Source organism: Homo sapiens, chromosome 7 (assembly GCF_000001405.40).
Source record: "Homo sapiens chromosome 7, GRCh38.p14 Primary Assembly".
Taxonomy (NCBI): Eukaryota; Metazoa; Chordata; class Mammalia; order Primates; family Hominidae; genus Homo; species Homo sapiens.
Window position 1 is genome coordinate 7,634,897 of NC_000007.14, and position 22,415 is coordinate 7,657,311.

At 40.1% G+C, this 22,415-nt stretch overlaps 2 protein-coding genes across 4 annotated transcripts in view, besides 6 other annotated features; one reads left to right on the forward strand and one right to left on the reverse strand.

The window, feature by feature from the left end:
* Window positions 1-1,621: 1,621 nt before the first annotated feature.
* RPA3 (replication protein A3) overlaps window positions 1,622-22,415 on the reverse strand; it is an 82,090-nt gene continuing 61,296 nt past the window's right edge. The window contains exons 5-8 of the mRNA NM_002947.5: window positions 5,424-6,279; window positions 4,174-4,248; window positions 2,968-3,076; window positions 1,622-2,186 (exon numbers count right to left, since the gene is read on the reverse strand). Coding sequence (NP_002938.1) covers window positions 2,104-2,186; window positions 2,968-3,076; window positions 4,174-4,248; window positions 5,424-5,522 — 366 coding nt within the window. The 5' untranslated portion in view covers window positions 5,523-6,279 and the 3' untranslated portion in view covers window positions 1,622-2,103. The remainder of the gene's footprint in view (window positions 2,187-2,967; window positions 3,077-4,173; window positions 4,249-5,423; window positions 6,280-22,415) is intronic.
* Window positions 5,037-5,086: an enhancer, noted in NCBI's record as "active region_25643". NCBI's record gives its function as "activates an Ori minimal core promoter by ATAC-STARR-seq in GM12878 lymphoblastoid cells {active_cell/tissue: GM12878}" and the evidence as "EXISTENCE:reporter gene assay evidence [ECO:0000049][PMID:35858748]".
* Window positions 5,457-5,506: an enhancer, noted in NCBI's record as "active region_25644". NCBI's record gives its function as "activates an Ori minimal core promoter by ATAC-STARR-seq in GM12878 lymphoblastoid cells {active_cell/tissue: GM12878}" and the evidence as "EXISTENCE:reporter gene assay evidence [ECO:0000049][PMID:35858748]".
* Window positions 5,547-5,676: a silencer, noted in NCBI's record as "silent region_17964". NCBI's record gives its function as "represses an Ori minimal core promoter by ATAC-STARR-seq in GM12878 lymphoblastoid cells {active_cell/tissue: GM12878}" and the evidence as "EXISTENCE:reporter gene assay evidence [ECO:0000049][PMID:35858748]".
* Window positions 5,777-5,976: an enhancer, noted in NCBI's record as "active region_25645". NCBI's record gives its function as "activates an Ori minimal core promoter by ATAC-STARR-seq in GM12878 lymphoblastoid cells {active_cell/tissue: GM12878}" and the evidence as "EXISTENCE:reporter gene assay evidence [ECO:0000049][PMID:35858748]".
* UMAD1 (UBAP1-MVB12-associated (UMA) domain containing 1) overlaps window positions 5,856-22,415 on the forward strand; it is a 238,472-nt gene continuing 221,912 nt past the window's right edge. For all 3 annotated transcript variants that reach the window (NM_001302350.2, NM_001302348.2, NM_001302349.2), the window contains exon 1: window positions 5,856-5,925. The gene's annotated coding sequence lies outside the window, so the exon portion shown is untranslated. The remainder of the gene's footprint in view (window positions 5,926-22,415) is intronic.
* Window positions 6,017-6,066: an enhancer, noted in NCBI's record as "active region_25646". NCBI's record gives its function as "activates an Ori minimal core promoter by ATAC-STARR-seq in GM12878 lymphoblastoid cells {active_cell/tissue: GM12878}" and the evidence as "EXISTENCE:reporter gene assay evidence [ECO:0000049][PMID:35858748]".
* Window positions 6,147-6,316: an enhancer, noted in NCBI's record as "active region_25647". NCBI's record gives its function as "activates an Ori minimal core promoter by ATAC-STARR-seq in GM12878 lymphoblastoid cells {active_cell/tissue: GM12878}" and the evidence as "EXISTENCE:reporter gene assay evidence [ECO:0000049][PMID:35858748]".

A 22,415-nucleotide genomic window follows, 5' to 3' on the forward strand; every position in this document is an offset into this window, starting at 1 on the left:
CAAAATTAAATTTTCTTTTTACATTTTAACTTTTTTGTTAAAAACTAAAACACAAGCACACACACTAGCCTAGGCCTATACAGGATCATCAATATCACTGTCTTCTACCTCCATATCTTGTCCCAGTGGAAGTTCTTCAAGGGCCATAACATGCAGGGAACTGTCATCTCCTATAACAAGGTCTTCTTTGGGAAGACCTCCTGAAGGACTCTCCTGAGGCTGTTTACAGTTACCTTTTTTCCTGTAAGTAGGGGTACAGTTTAAAATAATGATAAATAGTAAACACATAGCCAGTAACATGGTATTTTATTATCAAGTATCATGTACCATACATAATTCTATGTGTCATACTTCTACATGCAGCCTACTGTGCGGCTTGTTTACACCATCATCACCACAAACATGTGAGTAATGCATTGTGCTAAGATGTTACGATGCCTTTGTCTTTAGACAGGAATTTTTCAGTTCCATTATGATCTTATGGGACCACCATCATATATGCAGTCTGTCATTGACCAAAGTCATTATACAGCGTATAAACTGTACAGTTGTCTTCATTTCATGTAACAGAATGCTTTACCGTAAATGGCTATGGCAATGCCCCTCAAGTAATGAGCAGAGTATTTTTGGATGACAGAAGTTGAAATTTAAGATTACACTAATTAAAACTAAGTATTTTTGGTATAATTTACAATAACCTATATGGATTTAGAATTATTTCCTTATTCAAGGGAATGGGTCAAGCCATAAAACTTAACTGGCCACGTAGGTCATCGGTTATTCTATACTACCTTATTCCAAATCTGCCACATCTTCCCTGCTCACCCCCAACATGGTGCTAGAGAGAGATTCCATACTAAAGATTAGACAGGTGAAAAGAATAAAAAGAAAGTCAAATGATTCCACCAACTCTTTCAATGATCATATATTCCTTGTTTGGAATTTAGTAAATGCTATTTTAAAACCCAGGAAGGCTGGGCATGGTTGTTACACACCTGTAATCCCAACACTTTGGGAGGCTAAGGCGGTAGGATTGCTTGAGGCTAGGTGTTTGAGTCCAGCCTGGGAAACACAGTGAGACCCCATCTCTACACGGAAATTTAGGAAAATCTAGCTGGGCGTGGTAGTGCCCACCTGTAGTCTGAGCTACTTGGGAGACTGAGCCCAGAGGTTCAAGGCTGCAGTGAGCTATGATTGCACAACCGTATTCCAGCCTGGGCAATAGAGTGAGATCCTGTCTCTACAAAAACAAAACCAAACCAAGCCAGAAAAAGAGATACTTCACAGATTACAGAAGATGTAAGATTCTGTTTGCCTTTTTTTGAGACAGAGCTTCACTCTTGTTGCCTAGGCTGGAGTGCAATGGTGCAATCTTGGCTCACCGCAACCTCCGCCTCCCAGGTTCAAGTGATTCTCCTGTCTCAGCCTCCTGAGTAGCTGATATTACAGGCGCATGTCACCACGCCCGGCTAATTTTTGTATTTTTAGTAGAGACAGGGTTTCATCATATTGGTGAGGCTGGTCTCGAACTCCTGACCTTAGGTGATCCACCCGCCTCGGCCTCACAAGGTGCTGGGATTACAGGAGTAAGCCAGCGTGGCCAGTCTCTGTTTGCCTTTTTAATGTCATCTACTTCATTTTGTAAGTAGGGTATCAAGGAAATAATTATCAAGGTATAGTTTGGGAAAAGGTGAGCAAATCCTTAACACAGCTGGCCCAAGGTTTTATTTGGTAGGTCTAAATCTTGACCTTATGGCTATGAAATTTCAAGTTTGTGCTTGAATACATGATTAAAAGAATGAAAATGAAATGACCGATAGTACGTACCATTTTAGTTTTTATTAATAAAATAGAAACTTAGACTCGGACAACTGCTTTATTCTTGCATCTAATCTGACCATATATTGGAGTAGCAATTCTTTATAAAAGGACTTCGGTGAGAACTGTCAATATATCAGTTCCATCAAAAACTCTAGGTTGGAATATCTTAAAAACAGCAAATTAAATATGAGAAAGCACAGAAATCTCTCCCTCAAACAAGAAGGGCTTCCTTTAATAGACTTTAATATAGCTCATTTACAATCGTATGAAAATCCATCAAGATCAATCATGTTGCACAATCCCTAAAGGATAAAACTGAGGGAAGTCATGGATAATTTTCACAGCTTCATTGTAAAGTCCAAGATCTGAAAGAAACATTTAAGCAAACATTTAATCTACAATGGAAAGTTGTAACATCAATTATTATCTAAGATATTTTTACCTATTTCCTTTTTCTCACCCTTTTGGAAGTGAGTTTCTAAAAATGGAGATATGGATTATGGATTCTTGTATTTAACTGTGGCACCAAAAAAAAGACATGGGAGTACCATCCATTTTGATGTTCATTATACAGGCAGTTTCTGCCTGGTAGTGTTTTGGGTGTTATGCATTATTCAATTCCTTCAATTCAGATATTACAACAAAAAAACTAATACTATTTTTGTTATATTTAAAAAAATTATCTTTCAACAAACATTAATTAATCTTTACTGAGTTTCTTACATATATAAGCACTACTTAAAAGCAGGCCAAAACAAAATGTACCCCCATTTGCCTTTACGATCACAAAATTCTATAGAAATTGAAAATGTGGCAGTACTAAAACTCTAGACCAATATATATCAAACTAAAAATAAAACTGTTTTCCTGTATGTTTATGTTATGTAATTGTATGTAATACATACAATTTTGTATGTAATACAAAATGTATGTTAAAACATAGTTATATAAAACTGTATGTTATGTAATTACATACAGTTATATAAAACTGTATGTTATGTAATTACATACAGTTATATAAAACTGTATGTTATGTAATTACATACAGTTATATAAAACTGTATGTTATGTAATTACATACAGTTATATAAAACTGTATGTTATGTAATTACATAAAACCAGTCAATACTAGAATGCTTTATTTACCAAAAGGATGGCTATCTTCTTTAAACTGGACATAAGATGTACACAAGATGGTGGCCTTGGCGGTTACTCTTCCAACCACTTCCACAATTCCAGAGATTTCTTCATCAAGCTAAGACACAGAACAAGACATCGATTTGGTGATATCACATTTTCAGTTGACAATTATTTTGGAAAACTGTTATACAGGTTACTAATCTATCACTTCAAGTAACAAAGTAATTTTAAGAATTACCAGTGTAAAAGTTAAAATGTAACTTGTTAACAAATGTTTGAGTACTTAACTGTCAGCATGTTAAAATTCCTGCTACCTTTAGCAGTAGCTTCAAGTCCAAAGCTACAATTCAAGTTAAAGACAAAATCACTATTGAAAACGTCCAGCATTTCTATAAGCAGTAATATCCTATGAGAGGAATCTTCTATAATCTGTATTTCACAATGTGTTCTGTATACATTAACCAAACAGCATATGGATTTGTCTTCACAAAATACCAAAAAAAGTTTTAAGTATGTTAAACATAAAATGCAAACATAAATAAGTAAAAACTGGAAATATATGAACAAAAATAGAAAATAAAATAAAATCGAAAACTCTTGAGGGGCTGGTCGAGGCAGGAGGATTGCTTGAGACCGAGAGTTCAAGACCAGCCTGAGGAACATAGGGAGATGCCATCTTTACAAAAAACAAAACAAAACAAAACAAAACAAAACAAAACAAAAATTAGCCAGGCATGGTTAAGCATGCCTGTAGTCCCAGCTACTGGGGAGGCTGACATGGGAGCAACTTGATCTTGGGAGGCTAAGGCTGCAGTGCGCCATGATGGTGCCACTGCATTCCACCCGGGGTAACAGAGTGAGACCCTGTCTCAAAACAAAAAAACAAAAACGAAACAAAAAACCTCTTGAGGAAGAAAAAAGCAACGTAAATTTTTCTTATGTGATTTTATGGTCTTTCATAAGGAATGAGAATTGTTATCCAACATTTATGGGATATGTTCAAAAATCATGACGCCCAAAAAATCATTGGTTAAAAATGTAAAAGGAAATATAATGAGAGAATAGTACAAGAATTAAATTTTACAGCCAGGGACGTTTTACCAGCTCATCCTTTTTAAATCCATTGCAAAAATTAGAAACATCGGCAACAAACCAAATCAAGATGAAGAATTAACTATAATATATAAGAGACTTATTAACACTTAAACATACGGGTTCCATCAACTCGATGGTTCCATTTTTTCCTTCTCCATCTGAAAGAATAAACATTTTTCCGGTGGGATGAATCTAAAAACGAAACATATAATTAAAATCTCACTAAAACAACAACAAAGTTTGACTAAAGATGAGTACATTGATCCTTAGTTGAGCACAAATCAACTGTTTCTTGAACAGTTTATTCATTCAGTTTATTCAACTTATTGGATCAAATTATAATCTTATGTTATCAAATCTGTTCATGGAACACACAGTTAATTTCTGAATTTCAGATAAACAAGGATTTTTTTTGTAGTGTTAAGTAGGTTCTGTATTTGCTAAATATGGCAACCCTATTCTGATAACAAATTAAAGGATGCCCACCCTAAAAGTGAAATCTGCTGGCACTCATGATTTAGACAGTACATATCCCACGGAGGGTATGTTTTAAAAAACAGGCATGATGAAGTAAAAGGAGAACTGGTTGCTAGAATATCTGGGTCCTACTCCTGGGAAGCAGCTGTAAAGAGCGCTGTCAGATTGCGTTTGAATGCCAGCTTTGCCATTTGCCGAGTTTCTGAGCATTTTAGTCAACCACCTACCACTCCTACTCAGTTTCCCTACTTGGGAAGTCAGAGCAACACTCATTTAAGGAAGAGGATGTGTGGATGAAATGAGCTACTAAATAAGTCTTTATATAATAGTTTTCTTTTCCTCAGCTTTTCAGGTCACTGATTCCAAGACTTTGGGCCTGTTTCTCGCCTGTAGAATGAGGGAACTTCACTTTAATACTGGGGTTAAATAACTCGTTACTACGGGACCCAAAGCGGACAACCAAGGCATGTTTTACAGAGAAGCGATCACAACGAGGAAACGAGGTTTGCAAAAATAAGTAATTTCAGAAGAGAAGGAAACCAGCAGATTAGTTTTGTCTGCGTCCGTCACGTCTGAGTAAACTAAGAAATCTGAAGGTAGATGTGGGAGTGGTGTTTATAATTTCCCTTACGTAAGCACGGCTAGAACGGAGGCGACGGGCACTGGAATTTAGAACTCAGCATTTGAAAACACTTTGTTTCCGTGCCATAAAAGAGCGCCAAAATGGGGCTACAACGGCTAAAGAATTTCCAAAAAGTTCCTTGTGCAAAATAAAGGAGTCGGGGGCGCAGTGATCGGAGGCTTTCCGTCCTTTTTCATCCCCCGTTATCCAGGCGGGGTCCCTCCCTCCAGCTACGGACTTGGGAGCCCATGATTGCGAACCCGCACACCTTTTCCAGCCTCCCTACGAAGCAGACAGGCTTGTCGATGAATTGAGCTAGCATGCCGGCGTTGATGCGCGACCTGGGCAAGTCCATCATGTCCACCATGATTATGGTCCAAGACTGCGGCTGGCGGGAAACCCACGGACGACTGAAACTGTGCGCCCCGCGGGTGTCTATGGGGCAGATTTCTCGGCACCAATCAGCGAAGACTAGCGCTCCAGCTTCGCCAATTAAATGCGCGGAAACCTAAATCGCAATCGCGCTGTCTCTGAAAGGGGTGGAGAAGGGGCTGGATGAGTCCGGAAGTGGAGATTGGCTGCTTAGTGACGCGCGGCGTCCCGGAAGTTGACAGATACAGGGCGAGAGGCAGTGGAGGCGGGACTTGGATAGGGGCGGAACCTGAGACTACCTTTCTGCGATCACAGGATTCCCGGCGGTGACTTGACCCCGGAAGTGGGGTGTGAAGCTCCGGTGCTGGTGCGGCGGGGGACTGCGGGGCCAGCCTCAGGTACCTCGTCTCGCGGGAGGCGCCGCAACCTTACTGTTTCCCCATTCTTCCCGCGAACAGAGTCAAAAGAGCTAGGCGGGAGTCGGCACTAGCTGCTGCCGCGGTGCTGTGGGTGCTGCGTACCAGCTGTTCACTGCTGTCTCGCCTTCCCTCTTGCCAGTTCTGCGTGGGAGGCGCGGGAGTTTTGCGGAATGATACGTGGTGTGGCGTCGGGGTTGTGATACCCGCCCCCTTGGAGATGGGCAGCGGGGTCATCAGTGATCTTGATCACTTTCTTCAGGCTTTTGCCACTTGTTGGCTGAGGGTCGATTTACTCCCTTAGCTGCGTCACTCTACTTTCTCCACTTTCTCCACCTGTAAGAAGAGAGATTGATCCGATTACTTCTAAGACGTTTTTTAGCCCAACCTGGCCACACTGCGGAGGCGCCGGTTCTTTCACCCCGCTAACCCCTCCGTGTTGGCAGCCAATAGAAGCACTTAAGGATGGGTAACGGGGAAGAACCACTGGCCAGTACTAGGGGAGACAAGCTTAAATCGTTGTTAGACCCCGAGCTAGGGTTCCCCGAGCTAGGGTTCTCCCTTCTGAGGCGTGTTTTCCCCATCTGCAAAACGAAGGGTTAGGCGGAATGATTTGCAAGGTCCCAGTTGACTCTGACTTTTGGCCATATGTTTGACTCAACAGTTTAAACCCCCTCAGCAGTCTTTCTGTCGTTGCCCTCCACACTGCGAGACTCTGGAGGGCGATCTGGAGGTCTGGAAGATAACCGATTCCTGGGAGATTTGGGGGTAGTCTCCAATCTGTCCCTGGCTCATCTTGTGACCCGAAGCCGGCGGCCTTGCCAGGAGTATTCTAGAATGAGTGCACATAAAAATACCTTCAAACGGTACGGTGGAAATTGGACAGAAGTTTTAATTGGGTATTATAACGTTGTGGAAACTGAGTCTGTGAATTGGCCCAAAGCTACAGAATTGTCATCGTTCAAATTCCCTTAAGCAAAAAAGATCCGATTTGAGACTTCACGTGGCAATTTAAGATTGGAATCTCATGTACGATAATTAAATGATAGTCTCCCTTAGTGTTTCCTTAGCACTTAATAGGTTTGTCTTAGTTTTACTCACTAACGGTACTTTAAAGGATTTCATTAAACAGATGTAGAATGTGTGTCAGTGGTGTATAAAAAAGTTGTGGTTGTATTGGTGCAAGTCAGTAAAGTCTATTTTATATTACAGCTTTAAGTCTTTTGTACTTTAGCATTGTTTTGCAAAGCAAGTTGATGTGCATTATATAGGGGAGAGTACACACATCAATGTCTTTAATAGCATTTTTTTTTGAGGCAAGATCTCTCTCTGTCACCCAGACTGGAGTGCAGTAGCATGCACATAGCTCACTGCAGCCTTTAACTCGTAGGCTTAAGCGATCCTCTCACCTCAGCCTGCCAAGTAGCTGGGACTATAAGCACATACCACCACACCCAGCTAATAAAGATTTTTTTTTTGTTGTTTGTTTTTTTTTGTTCAGATGGGGCCTCGCCATGTTGACCAGGCTTATCTCAAACTCCTGGGCTCAGGCGATCCCTCCCTCCCCCGTCTCCCTCCCAAAGTACTGGAATTACAGGTGTGAGCCTTGGTGCGTACCCTGTAATAGTGATTTTTTTTTTTTTTAAAGAGCACTCCTGTGAGTACCAGATGTTAATGTCGTTGTTTACCTGCAGTTAGAAAGACCACTTTTAAGCAAAGGCTTTCTTTTAAAACAGGGAGATGAGCAGGAAGATAATTTAAAACAGCTTTTTCGTGTATTTTTGAGTCACTTAAAATATTATAAAATACATGATGTACAGAAAAAAGTATAGCTAGCCGATTTGCATAGTTTTGAGAGAAATGAAATGAATCCATGGGGCCTGTCATTCAGCTGAAGAAATGGAACTTTACCAGTTACCAGTAAATTTTACCAGTTTGCACTTCCCCAATGAAGCCCTCCTTGCTACAGCCATAAGTAAACACTATCTTGAAATTTGTGTTAAGCTTCCTAAGCTTTTCTAGGTGGTTTTATCACACATGCAGGCGTTGCTAAATGGTATGTTGTTTAATATTGCCAGTCTTTGACCTTTATATAAACAGAAACGTATGTATCTTCTGACTTCTTTTGTTTGTTTTTGAGATTCATCTATGTTGACGAATGTACGTAGATCATATTTTTTTTTCTGTTACAGGTAGGCATGAGTGGGACAGTAGTGGGCTCTCCCCCAACCCACTAGAAATGTTGGGGGATGGTTTGGCAATTACCGAATTTGCTTCTCTAAAAATGATAATTCTGCAGCGCCAGGGAGAGGCCATTTCCTGATGGTCCACACCTGTTATCAAAATGTTAATTGAATGTAGACCCGAGGGAGAAACAGCTTCCTGGGCATGCATATTAAGAGACAAAAATGGTAAAGTATGATCTTCCAGGTACACTCCACCGGAAAAAGGAAGGAAGCCTCAGATGGGCGTGCATGTAACTCCCTAAAAACACTTCCCAAGGCTAAGGAGGGCTCTGTGCCTGCCGGCAGCCTATCCTAAGGAAAGAATCATGGGAAATAGACAAGCTTGTAAAAGTCCTAGGATCAGGGCCGGGCGCGGTGGCTCACGCCTGTAATCCCAGCACTTTGGGAGGCTGAAGCGGGTGGATCACCTCAGATCAGAAGTTCAAGACCACCCTGGTCAACATGGTGAAACCCTGTCTCTACTAAATATACAAAAAAGTATCCAGGCGCGATGGCGGGGGCCTGTAGTCCCAGCTACTCGGGAGGCTGAGGCAGGAGAATGGCGTGAACCCGAGAGGCGGAGCTTGCAGTGAGCCGAGATCGCGCCACTTCACTCCAACCTGGGCCACAGAGCGAGACTCCCTCTCAAAAAAAAAAAAAACAAACAAACGAAAAAAAAAGGATCAACGGTTAAATCGGACACTTGACCTACTCTCTTTAACCTTCACATTCCCGCTTGGGTCTCTAACAAGCACACCTTCCTTTCTTCCTGTTTTAAGGCCTTTTAAAGTAAACTTCCATTCCTGCTCTGGAACTTGCCTGGGTCTCTGTTTCTGCTTTATGCCCCTCAGTCAAATTTTTTCGTCTGAGGAGGCAAGGACTGAAGTTGCTACTGACCCGTGAGGATAGGCCACCGGTAACTTGGGGTAACTTGGATCTCTGCCACTAGTAAAAAAATGATTTCCCCAAATGGTGGTACCAGTTTACTCTCTTACCTGGAGTATAAGACAGTTTACAGTTATTGTATATTCTTGGCAACTCTTGGAGTTTTTTCCCCCAATTTGATGGATATGAAGTGTTTTTTTGTCGTGACCCTAATTTGCACTCCCTGATTACTGAAAAGTTTGAACATTTTTTCAGATTTTTATTGGTTATTTATGTTTATCTTTTTTTCCTTGATTTTTCTTTTTCTTACTGACTTTTAAGAGCTTTTTATTAGTGAGATATTGTAATGGTACAAGTGTTGTCTGTTTTTGGCCTATCTTTCCGTTTCCTTCCTTCATTCCATCCTTTTTTTTTTTTTATTAGGAAGACCTCTTTTAATATAGTTAAACATTTTCCCCCTTAAGTTTAATGTAGGAGAAAAGTCCATTAAAATCTCATTTATGAATTCTTTGATACATCGTACTCTTAAAGGTATTCTATTTTTCCTAAAATGTTTAGAGTTTTGCCTTTCATATTTAATAGTCCGTCATCTAGAATTCACTCTTCATGTATGTTGTCAGATAAGTCTCCAATCTCTGTTTTGTTTTAATTTCAGTTGTCCTAATGTGATTTGACTGTATCACCTTTTTGCCACCTTCACTTGTCACCTTAAGTTTACAGATATGTGTGGAGTCAATTCTATTCTATGGATCTATTTTTCTATCCCTGAACCACTACCTATTTTCTTTAATAGTGTAGCTTATCATAACTTTTGATGTCTGGGGCTGTGTTCTCGGGAATGTCTTGGTTATTTTTGTCTCTTTGCTCTTCTGTATAGAATGTAGCTTATGAATTTCCAGGAAAAACTGTGTTGGAATTTTGATCAAAATTGCACTGTATCCTTGGATGTATTTCAGGAAAAGTAACACCTGAATGTCAACTCTTACTATCCTTGAGCCATTTTGGTCCTCTTAAAATCTTTCCAAAAGGTCTCATACTTTTCTACATAAAAGTTTTGACTTTTAGCTTAGATTTATTCCTAGATACCTTGTTTTTGTTGCTATTATGAATGGTATCATTTTTTAAATTAAAGATTTTAACTGATTGTTTTGGTATATAGAAATGCCATTTTAAGAATTTTCTATCAGTTTTTTTTGGAATTTTCTATTCATATTTGAATAATTATAGTTTTGTTTCTTAAGAATTCTTACATATTTTATTTATCTTTCTTACCTTTTGCCTAGGATAGAGCCTTCAGTACCATTTTGAATAGAAATAGTGTTTAAGTCAAGATGGGGTTTAGCTGCATAAACAAAAGTATCTTTAATGCACAAACGCTTATTCTCACATGTGAAAGAAGTCCACAGCTGTGCAACTTAGTACTTATGTGGTAGTGCACTAAGACTCAGGGCCCCAGGTTCTTTCTGTCTTTCTGTAGTTCTACATTCAATATCTAGTTCCATATTTATGGTTATCTCATAGGCCAGGTAAGTGATGGAGCTTCAGCTATCAAGTAAATCCACGTTCTATGTGGCAGAGAAGTGGACCCGCATTCAGCTTCCTTTAAGGAGTATTCCCCGAAGTCCTTCCCAACTTGAATTTCTGTTTATTAGATTAAGGAATTTTCCTTCTATTCCTAGTTTGATAAGCATTTTAATTGAATTGTTACGGAATTTGATCAAATGCATTTTTTGCCTTAATTGAGATGATTGAAATGAGTATGTATTTTTCAGTGTTTGAACCAAGCTCACATTCTTGGAAGCTTGGTTATGATATATTGTCTTTTATATATATTCCTGGATTTGATTTGCTGTTGTTTTTGTTTAGGATTTTTTTTTTTTTAATCTATGTTCATGAGTGAGATTGGTCTGTAATTTTCCTTTTTTGTATAGTCCTTGTCAAAATTTGGCATTATGGTTATAAGACAGGAGAATTCCCTGGACCCCTTTGTGGGACTTGGAACCAGGGTGTGGCTCGTTTGCTCGGCTGCCGTGTACTCAAACCCCTTACGGGAGAGGGAGCATGCAGGTGAGCAGGTGCAGGAGTTGGGGTGAGTGATTTGGGCCTCCAGCCCCATGGCAGTGTCTAGGGGCGTTACAGTGCTCTTTTAGCCCTGCCGTCTGGGAATGGCTTAAGTGTTAAATAGCTCAGTAGAGTCAGTGTGACAGCCTTTTTGGGTTCCCACACCCAGTGCATCCTGAATTCTTGTCTAGCATCGAGGAGGAATCAGGTTACATGGGCTTGAAAGATGGTGAATGTGGGCATTTTATTGAGTGATGGAGGTGGCTCTCAGTGGGATGGTGATACGGTTTGGCTGTGCCCCACTCAAATCTCATCTTGAATTGTAGCTCCCATAATTCCCATGTGTTGTGGGAGGGACCCGATGAGAGATAACTGAATCATGGGGACAGTTTCCCCCATACTGTTCTCGTGGTAGTGAATAAGTCTCACGAGATCTGATGGCTTTATAAGGGGAAACCCCTTTCGCTGGATTTTTTTTTTTTTTTTTTTTTTTTTAATTCTCTCGTCTGACACCATGTAAGACGTACCTTTTGCTTTCCGCCATGATTGTGAGGTCTCCCCAGCCACGTGGAACTGTGAGTCCATTAAACCCCTTTTTCTTTATAAATTACCCAGTCTCAGGGGTGTCTTTATCAGCAGTATGAAAATGAACTAATACAGATGGGGAGCTGGAGAGGGGATGGAGTGGGAAGATGATCTTCCCTTGGAGTTCGGCTGTCCCATGGCCAATCTCCTCTCTGACCGTCCCCAGCCAAACTCCCCTCGACACTCAGATGCTTCCTCTCTTCTCTCCTCTGCTGCACCATTCTGCTGCTCTGCCACTCTTCTGCTCATGGAGCCTGGGGTTTGGGGTTTATATGGGCACAGAATAGGGGTGACATATTGGGCCAAAAGGCAACATTTGGGTGCAAAAACAGCCTGTTCACATTTAGGGCTATGGGTCCAGGCTTAAGGGTGGAGCCCTCGCCAGGGACCCCACCCTTCTGCCGCTTGTCCGTATCAGTTACACTAGTTTTGTGAAATTAGTGTGGAGTGTTTCTTTTATTTATTCTCCAAGATTGTACATAAAACTGAAATTATCTATTGAGTGTTTGGTAGTGTTCACCTATAAAACCTTTTAGATCACTATAGTTATCTTTGACTAGAGCTTTAGACATTTCCCACAAGTTTTTATAAGCAGGTGTACATTAAGTTCTAGGTATTTTCTAGTTTTCAGCATATTTCTTTTTTGACCCATGCATTATTTTTGTTTCAAAATGTATAGGTTTTATTAAAGTTATTTTGATAATTCCCAGTGAAACTGCATTATAATCTGAGGGTATGGTTTGTCTAATTCTTTGCAATTATATGAGACTAATTCTTTGAAATTATGTGAGGCTTGCTTTAAGGCTTATTAGGAACATGGACAATTTTTCATGTGTGCTTGGCAAAAAAATGTATTTTCCAGTTGTTGGATCCAGTGTGTAAATTGCACTGTTCACATAATTCTGTTTTCTTTTTGTCTGCTTAATATCTCAATTATCGATAAATATGTGACATAGCCTATAGATGGTAGCATTGTCAAATTTCTCCTTGAAGCCCTGATGACTTTTGCTATATATATACATTTCTTTAAGAGACAGGGTCTTCCTCTGTTGCTGAGGCTGGACTGCAGTGGCGTGATTGTGGTGCAATGCAGCCTTGAACTCCTGAGCTCAAGGCTCAGCTTTCTGAGTAGCTGGGACTGCAGGCACGTGCCATCACACCCAGCTAATTTAAAATAAAATCTTTCTTTTGTAGAGACGGGTTCTTTCTTTGTTGCCCAGGCTGGTCCATAACTGCTAGGCTCAAGCAAGCCTCCCTCCTTGGCCTCTCAGAGTGCTAGGATTACAGGTGTGAGTCACTGTGCCTGGCTTGGCTTTAAAGTTTTTGTTGTTGTTGTTTGCTACTATTATAGACGTGCCAGCTGTGTTTTGGTTAGAATTTATTTGTCTTATCGTTTTCCATCCTATATCTCACCTAGGGGAGACAAGACCCATGGGCTTGAATGCTCATTTTCTCATTTCTTTTGTAGCTTAGCTGACAGCTGGCCTGGGAGGTCTCAGCTGAAGGTAAAAACAGGCTGATACCAGCCAGTGGGCTCCAGTGGCCTCCTTCTTCTTAAAGAAGTCATTTCGTTCTAAATCAGGAGATTTCCATTAGGACTTAATTGCCTAGATGTATGGGGGATGGATTCCTTTCTAAGAGAGCACTAGCGTTTGACAGATCATGAGTGATTTGCTGTTTCTCTGCTTAAGTTTTCTCCGCTTAAGTTTTCTCCAGTAAACCATAGACTTTATACTGTGTGGCCCTTCTGTTATTTGTGTTTGTGTTGGCCTGACAGCTTTAACTTTTTTTGTATTCTTATGTTCCAGGTGTGTCTGTCTTGTAAATAGTGCATATAGCTGGCGATTCATTTTTTCTCTCTTTTGTCCATTTATATTGATTGTGGCTACTGATGTATTATGATTTGTCTTAGTCTATGTAGTGTTGCTATTACAGAATACCACAGACTGGGTAATTTATAAAGAAAATAAAATTGGCAGGGGAATTGGCTCACTCCTGTAATCCCAGCACTTTGGGAGGCCGAGGCAGGTAGATCCCTTGAATTCAGGAGTTCGAGACAAGCCTGGGCAACATGGTGAAAGCCCATCTCTACAAAAAATACAAAAATTAGCTGGCCATGGTGGTGTGTGTGCCTGTGGTCCTAGCTACTTGGGAGGCTGAGGTGGGAGGATGGCTTGAGTTCAGGAGGTGGAGGTTGCAGTGAGCTAAGATCGTGTCACTGTGTTCCAGCCTGGGCGACAGAGTGAGACCCTGTCTCAAAAAAGAAAGAAAGAAAAAAAAAGGCCGGGCGCGGTCGCTCACACTTGTAATCCCAGCACTTTGGGAGGCCGAGGTGGGTGGATCACCTGAGGTCAGGAGTTGAGACCAGCCTGGCCAACATGGCAAAACCCTGTCTCTACTAAAAGTACAAAAATTAGCCAGGCATGGTGGCGGATGCCTGTAATCCCAGCTACTCAGGAGGCTGAGGCAGGAGAATCGCTTGAACCCAGGAAGTGGAGATTGCAGTAAGCCAAGATTGTGCCACTGCACTCCAGCCCGTGCGACAAGAGCGAGACTCCATCTCAAAAAAAAAAAAAAAAAAAAAGAAAAGAAAAGAATAAAAAAGGAAAGGAAATGATGTCTTATAGTTCTAGAGGCTTGGATGTCCAAGGTCCAGGGACCCACATCTGGCAGGGGCTTGTTATGAGGAAGACAGAAAGGCAAGAGACCATGAGAGAAATGTAAGGGAAGGGGACTAACTAATGCTTTTTTTCAGGAAACTACTCCCCCAATAACTTAACCCACTCTAGCAATAATGGCATTAATCCATTTATGAGGTCAGAGCTCTCATAACCTGGTTACCTTTTATAGGTCCCAGCTCTCAACACTGTTGCATTGGCAATTAAGTTTCTAACACATGAACTTTGGGGAACATATTCAAACCACAGCAGGATTAATTTCCACGTCAGTTTTTTGCTTCCTATGTGTTCTGTTTTGTTGTTATTTTTTCCTTTCTTGCCTTCTTTTGCATTGATTTTTTTGTTACTTTTTTCTTCTTTAATGTTATCAGTCTGTGTTAATTTGAATGTTATACATTCTGTATTCTTGTTGGTGGGGGGGCCCACCCTACAAATTTTAACCTGCTGCCATGGTCCGAATGTTTGTCTCTCTCCCCCCACCCAATTCATATGCTGAAATCCTAACCCCTAAGGTGATGGCATATAGTATTAGGAGGTAAGGCCTTTGAGAGGGCACATGAATTGGATTCATGCCCTTATAAAAGAGTCAGAGAGATCCCTTGCTCCTTCAACCATATGAAATTATAGTGAAAAGATGGCTGTCTGTGAACCAGAAAGTGGGCATTCATCAGACACTGAATATACTGGAGCTTTGATCTTACACTTTCCAGCCTCTAGGACTGTGAGAAGTAAATTTCTGTTTATAAGTTACCTAATTCATGGTATTTTGTTATAGCAGCATGGACAGATTAAGAAGCATGCATATTAATCTTGAAGTCGAAAGTTACTTTGGGTCAAGACAGAACCTGTAATTCCATTTACCTTTTCCCAATTTTTATGCTGTTGTCTAGAGATTTAGTTCTGTTTTGATTTCTTGTAATCCCACAATTTACGTTCTTGTAACTCTGCCTAGACATTATTATTGCTTTATGCAGTTAATATTTGCTTGAAATTACCCATATATTTATCATTTTCTTTACTTAATATTTTTACAGCTTCATCAGTTCATGTTTGTTTTTCTGAGTGTTTATTTCATTCGAGTTCTCAAAGCATAGTTTTATTATCTTTCTGTGGTATAGAATTCTAAGTGGATGGTTAATTTCTTCCAAAACTAATGTAATGATAATATTTTACTCTTGTAATGTCTGCTTTGTTTTAAATTGTGATTTTGCTGTAGGCTTACATGTCTCATTATTTGCTTGATCCTCAGTTGTAACAGGATGGTAGTGATGGCTGCAGGACAGTGTGAATGTACCTAATGCCACTAAACCGTACACTTAAAAATTGTTTAAATGATAAATTTTATGTAGTATGTTTATTACCACAGTTAATAAGTAAAACAAAGTTTAAGCTGGTTAAAGTGGCAATGTTACTTGTGCCAAACGCACCTTGATTTACTAATCCAGCCATTCTGCATCCTGAACCCAGAATGGTCCACCTAAAATATCAGACTGATCACTCTCCATCCAGTGATTTCCTCCGGCATCACTGTTAAGTCCAAACTCCTTGGCATGGCATATAAGAAAGACATTCCAGGTTCTGGCCATGGCTTACCTTTACCTTTAATGCTGTCCCTCCCCAACACTTTATTATAACCTTCACTGAGATCTTGGTTAATGTATAGTCAGATTTGTTGTACTCAGGAACCAGCAGAATCCCCATATTTGCTCTCTTAAAAGAGCATTTGTGGTACAAAAAGCCAGGTGCATGACCTTTGAGCAACCCCTCTGTAGCCAAAGAGAAAGCCCAAAGCAATACCAGAGCACATTTTTCTGGTAATATAGCAAATCAGACATTCAGAGAAATCACTCCCTGTACAGTCCATCTAAAAAAGTTGGATTAAATATTTTTAAAAATATATGGCTAAATCAATAAAAGATTTCAAAAATTACATAGAAACCAGAAAGGACAAGGATCTACAAATCCACAAAAGTATATGTTAGTACTAGAGCTAATGTTGGAGAGTTCCCTGAACCTCCTTGCAGGACTTGTGACAAGGGTGGGCTTGGCTTGTCTTTTGGCTGGGGTTTGGGGTTTATAAGGGTACAGGATGGAGGGTGTGGCAGGCCAAAAGGCAACATTTGGGTATGGAAACAGGAATGCCTGTTCCCATTTAGGGCTGTAGGTTTTCAGGCTTGAGGCTGGGGCCTTTGCCAGGGAACTGTCCTCTTCTGTCTCGTATTTTCCTGCCTCCTGTCCATATTATTTTCCCTATGGCCATTGCTTTGGGTACGTATTTTTCCATCCTCATGTTGATCTCATTCTGGTGATCTCTAATTGAAGGAGAGACTGTGTCAGATTACTTTAGTCTCCCTCACTTAACTTTTTATTGCTGGCAGCTTCTTGTTTCTGAGTCTGGTCCTGAAAGTCAGAGGGATGTACACATTTCCTGGTTCACTCAATTCCCAAAGGCTAACAGGCATTCATCATATGTGACTCTGCTGGGTGGAAATTGGGTCTTCCGAGACTCAGATTTTAAAAGGTCTGTGAGTGAGTTGAAGAATTAGGAGCAGTTTACAGTTCTTTGAACTTGAAATTCAACCTTCTTTCTTTCTTCTGCTCAGAGTTTTTCCTGTCTTGTACTCTGTTTTACAGAGTCCTCCTTGGGCAGTTACACACCATTCAAACCACTGCCCTCCTGACTCCTCCCTCTCTCCCCTTGCAAGAGCTGTGACTTCTGAATGGAAGTGGGAGAAGATCTTGTCAGGGAGGGGTAGAAGGAAGGGAGGAAATCTAGTCCTGTAAGACTTTGGGGTCTCCATGCAGTGGGATGTCTGGCAGTCTTTTTTTCTGGTAGATATAGCTCTTGTATTTTATAATTAAGCTCAGGCAGTGGGGATGGACAAAGTATTTTCCACATCTTCTTTGTGGTTCATGCTCCTGTTTTACATTGCTCGTTTGCTCACTTGGCCATTTATTCATTCCTTTGATAGGATTTCCGAGTAAAGCAGTATACTCTTGGTCGATTGTACTTCTTGGTCAATACCCATTGATCATGCAGTTCGTGGAAGTTTGACTCAGACTTTGAGATATGGTCTCTGATTTTCAGTTGATATAGTTATTACCAATTTTTTTAGTGTGTTTCTTTACATACATTTTGTTGTAAAACAGCTGGCTGTCTTGTTTACTCAGCAGTCTGAAGCAAGTCATTAGACAGCTAGCAATATTTTTGACTAGACTAGAATGTGAGTAACATTTTGCATGGTTAATGCATGGTTGATGCTGGTTTTATACAGGACTTAGCACCTTGCTTTGTGCCCATTGACATTGTGAGAGGTGGTAGAGAAGTAGGATAAAGAGGCAGGAAGTAGATTGGTTAATTCCGTGAATTTGGAGAAAGTGACTTGTCTAATTTTGTTTGTCTAGGGCCTACCACAGTGCCTGGCCAATTTTGGGCCCTCAAAAGATGTTGGTTGAATGAATTAAATAGTGAACAAACAAATGACTGAGTGTTAAAAGAAGTTTGTTCTTCAATGGGGAGGAAGTAGTAAGCCTTCTGATGATGCAGTCAGGCTATATTGAAAGTCAAATAATTTTTAGTTGGCAGTTTAGGGAGTGATTCTTTCTGGATGTTGAATGTGATGGCTTCTATTTTGTGTAAACATTAAAATGAGCGAGCAAATAGAATATTTTAAAGACCCATACTGAATAATGTTTTATTTATTTTTACATTTATTCTTGCTCCCCAGTGCTCTAGAGAGTTGTAAAGAGGTGTGACCTCACATCCCATGACTTAATTCTCCCTTAGGACATTATTTAGATGTGTTTTATGATATTTGTTTTATGTGGAGAGATGCTTTTTGTTAGAGTTGTCTGAATTCTTTTGCAGGGTGTTTTTTCATTTTCAAAATGCAACACCAAATGAAGTTGCTTCAGAAATTCTTCTTGTACAGTAGTGTTATTTACACTCAAATCAAAATGGTTTGTGGCAGTTATGCAGTTATATTTGTAACTTTCCTAAAACATATAAATGTGTCACTGTATCATTAATTTAGATGACTCAAGATGACACTAAAGGCTGTAAATTGCCTTCTTTGTCAGTGATTGAGATCCAAATGATAAATTCTTAGTGCAGTTTGTTTATAAGCTCTCAAAAAGGCAGTAATCTTATCTTCTAAACCTTATCTTCTAAGGATGCTAGTTAGCATCCTTCTTTAGGAAAAAAACTGTGGTTTTCACATGTATAGCATTACAAAAAAAACCTCTTGAAATTAAGATGTTTTCTGACTGAAGTGCATCACGCACTAGGTGATCATACCCATTCACAGAGGAGTTACAACACATTTTTTATTATTCACTGTCATTGTTCACACTGAAGAAAAGGGCAGTATTCTGAGAGTTCTCAGGTGAAGTCTGACGCTCCCAGACCTAGGGGAATGTCTTTACCTAGAGAGTGCTGCTGAGTGGTTAATGTTGAAAAAGAAGTCCCTTTCTTGTAATGTCTTGGTTCTCCACCAGGGGCGGTTTTGTCCCCTAGGAGACATTTTGCAATGTCTGCAGGCATTTTTGGTTGTCACAGCTGGGGGATAGGAAGGCACTTAGTGGGTTAAAGCCAGAGATGGTGCTAAACATGATACAGTGCTAAGGACAGCCTCCCACAACAAAGAATTACCTGATCCCAAATGCTTAGAGTGGAGAGATTGAGAAACCTTGGTCCAATGTAATATGAGATTTCCCCCCTAAATTAGTAGATTGAGGGGAGACTTTATTATTCCGTTCTGTTTTTCATATTGTGAATAAGAAGCAGTAGAGAAAAAAGCAGTCATTTCTTATCACTGCTAGGCTACCCTTCTTGATTCTGAAAACCATAGGACCATAGGGCATTCAATTAAAAAGAAAACAAACACAGATCCTTAAATCCATCAACAACAAAACCAAAACCTTCCCTGACTATTCTCTAGTAGATACTTTGAGGCTCAAATTTATTTACAAAGTAATGGAGGAGAGTAAAATTGTTTGACGTCTGTTTTACCCAAGTGAGGCCATCTGTATTCAGTGATGGAAATAGGATCTGACAAGAGGGGAGGTTCTGTTCTAAAATTTTCTTAGGTGAAGTTGTTAGTTTTCAAGATGACTTTATCATATGGATATGGGAAGTGATTCTGTAGAGACAGTACAGTTATCCTTCGGTATCCCTAGGGGATTGGTTCCAGGACTTCCTGCTGATACCCAAATCCACAGATGCTCAAGTGCCTTTTATTAAATGGTATAGTATTTGTATATAGCCTTTGTACATCCTCCCATATGCTTTATCCCTAAATTCCTTAGAATATCTAACTCTGTGTAAATAGTTATATTTTAAAATTTGGGCTGGGTGCGGTGGCTCATGCTTGTAATCCCAGCACTTTGGGAGCACAAGGTGGGCTGATCACTTGAGGCTAGGAGTTCGAGACCAGCCTGGCCAATATGGTGAAACCCCATCTCTACTAAAAAATACAAAAATTAGCCAGGTGTGGTGGCGGGTGCCTGTAATCCCAGCTACTCTGGAGGCTGAGGCAGGAGAATCGCTTGAACCTGGAGGCAGAGATTGCAGTGAGCCAAGATTGTGCCCCTGTAACCCAGCCTGAGTGACAGAGTAAGACTCTGTCTCAAAAAAAAAAAAAAAATTTGTGATATTTTTAATTGTTGTACTGTTTTTTATTTTTTTGACTATTTTTGCTTCATAGTAGGATTGCAGGACCTATGGATCTGGTGGGCCCACTCTATTCTAGAAAATTAGTAATTCTGGATTATGTAATGCTTGCTATGCTAGCAGGATTTACTGTTATAGTAACAGCAATGATTCCAGACAGTTCCTGGTAGTAGATATCTTACATGCTAATGATGAGTAGCTGGCAGTTGAGATTATCAAATGATGCCTCTGGCCTGCTCTCCATGGCAGACAGAGCCAGCCATTAAAAGTCATCCAGTCGTGGGAATAAACTAGACTGCCCCTTCCCCCAGTACTCTTTTCACCTAGGATTTCCTGTATTGCGTTTAAGGATTTCATGTTTGAAATCCACGTGTCTCATTTGGAAAAAGCTTTTCCTGCCTTTAATTTAGTATAAAGTAAAATAAGAAAATGATTGAAATTATGAGGATCAAGAAAAAATAAAATAAATTAAATGAAAAGTTTCAGTTTGGCTCCTGTTGAACCCTATACAGTGAAGTTCTCTGGAACCCTCTGCATTCCTCCAGAGTCCTCCCTGGCTTGATGCTCTATAATTGATTTGTAGCTCACCATCTTCCAACTTCCTAAGTATTTTAGCTGTGCTGTTTTGGCTAAAAGTAATAACATTTAAATTCTCAGTTGGCTGAAAGCATCTATAAGGTTATATTAGAGAAGTTTTATTAACTCATATAACTTCCCTTTTTAATGGATGCTATATATGTGTATGATGTGACATTACATTTAGGGGACGAATGAAAAGATTAGGAGTGTTAAATTAGAGGACAGGCTCTTTTTTATGTATTTTAATTTAAAAAATATTTTTGTAGGTATATAGTAAGTGTATATATTTAGGACAGTCTCTCTCTCTCTCTCTCTTTGTTTTTGTTTTTGAGACAGAGTTTCGCTCTTGTTCCCCAGGCTGGAATGCCATGGTGTGATCTTGGCTCACTGCAACCTCCACCTCCTGGGTTCCAGCGATTCTCCTGCCTCAGCCTTCCGAGTAGCTGGGATTACAGGCATGCGCCATCATGCCTGGCTAATTTTGTATTTTTAGTAGAGACGGGGTTTCTCCATGTTGGTCAGGCTGGTCTCAAACTCTCAACCTCAGGTGATCCGCCTGCCTCTGCCTCCCAAAGTACTGAGATTACAGGCATGAGCCACTGCGCCTGGCCAGGACAGGCTCTCTTAAAAGTGAGGTTACCGCCACTACTTTTATTCTTCTGTATACACCATTGTAAAAGCTGCGTGGTTCTGAGGGTGGAAGTGGAGTGGAAATACGAGTTGAAGGAGAAAAAAGAACAATGTAAAGTCTCTTGCTGTTAGTAAAGAACTTGTTCATGTATTTAAAAAAATTTTTTTTTTGTTTTATTATACTTAAAGTTCTGGAGTACATGTACAGAACGTGCAGGTTTGTTTCATAGGTATACACGTGCCATGGTGGTTTGCTGCATCCATCAATCTGTCATCTACATTAGGTATTTCTTCTAATGCTATTCCTCCCCTAGCCTTCCACCCCATGACAGGCCCCAGTGTGTGATGTTCCCCTCCCTGTGTCCATGTGTTCTCATTGCTCAACTCCCACTTATAAGTGAAAACATGTGGTGTTTGGTTTTCTGTTCTTGTGTTTGTTTGCTGAGAATGATGGTTTCCAGCTTCATCCATGTCCCTGCAAAGGATATGAACTCATTCTTTTTTATGGCTGTATACTATTCCATGGTGTATATGTGCCACATTTTCTTTATCCAGTCTATCATTGATCGGCATTTGGTTTGGTTCCAAGTCTGCTGTTGTGAACAGTGCTGCAATAAACATACGTGCGCATGTGTCTTTATGGTAGAATGATTTATAATCCTTTGGGTATATACCCAGTAATGGGATTGCTGGGTCAAATGGTATTTCTGTTTCTAGATCCTTGAGGAATCACCACACTGACTTCCACAATGGTTGAACTAATTTACACTTCCACCAACAGTGTTAAAAGCCTTCCTATTTCTACACATCCTCTCCAGCATCTGTTGTTTCCTGACTTTTTAATGATCACCATTCTAACTGGCGTGAGAATGTATCTCATTGTGGTTTTGATTTGCATTTCTCTAATGACCAGTGATGATGAGCTTTTTTTCATATGTTTGTTGTCTGCATAAATGTCTTCTTTTGAGAAGTGTCAGTTCATATCTTCTGCCCACTTTTTGATGGGGTTGTTTTTTTCTTGTAAATTTGTTTAAATTCTTTCTAGAGTCTGGGTATTAGCCCTTTGTCAGATGGATAGATCACAAAAATTTTCTCCCTTTCTGTAGGTTGCCAGTTCACTCTGATGATAGTTTCTTTTGCTGTGCAGAAGCTCTTTAG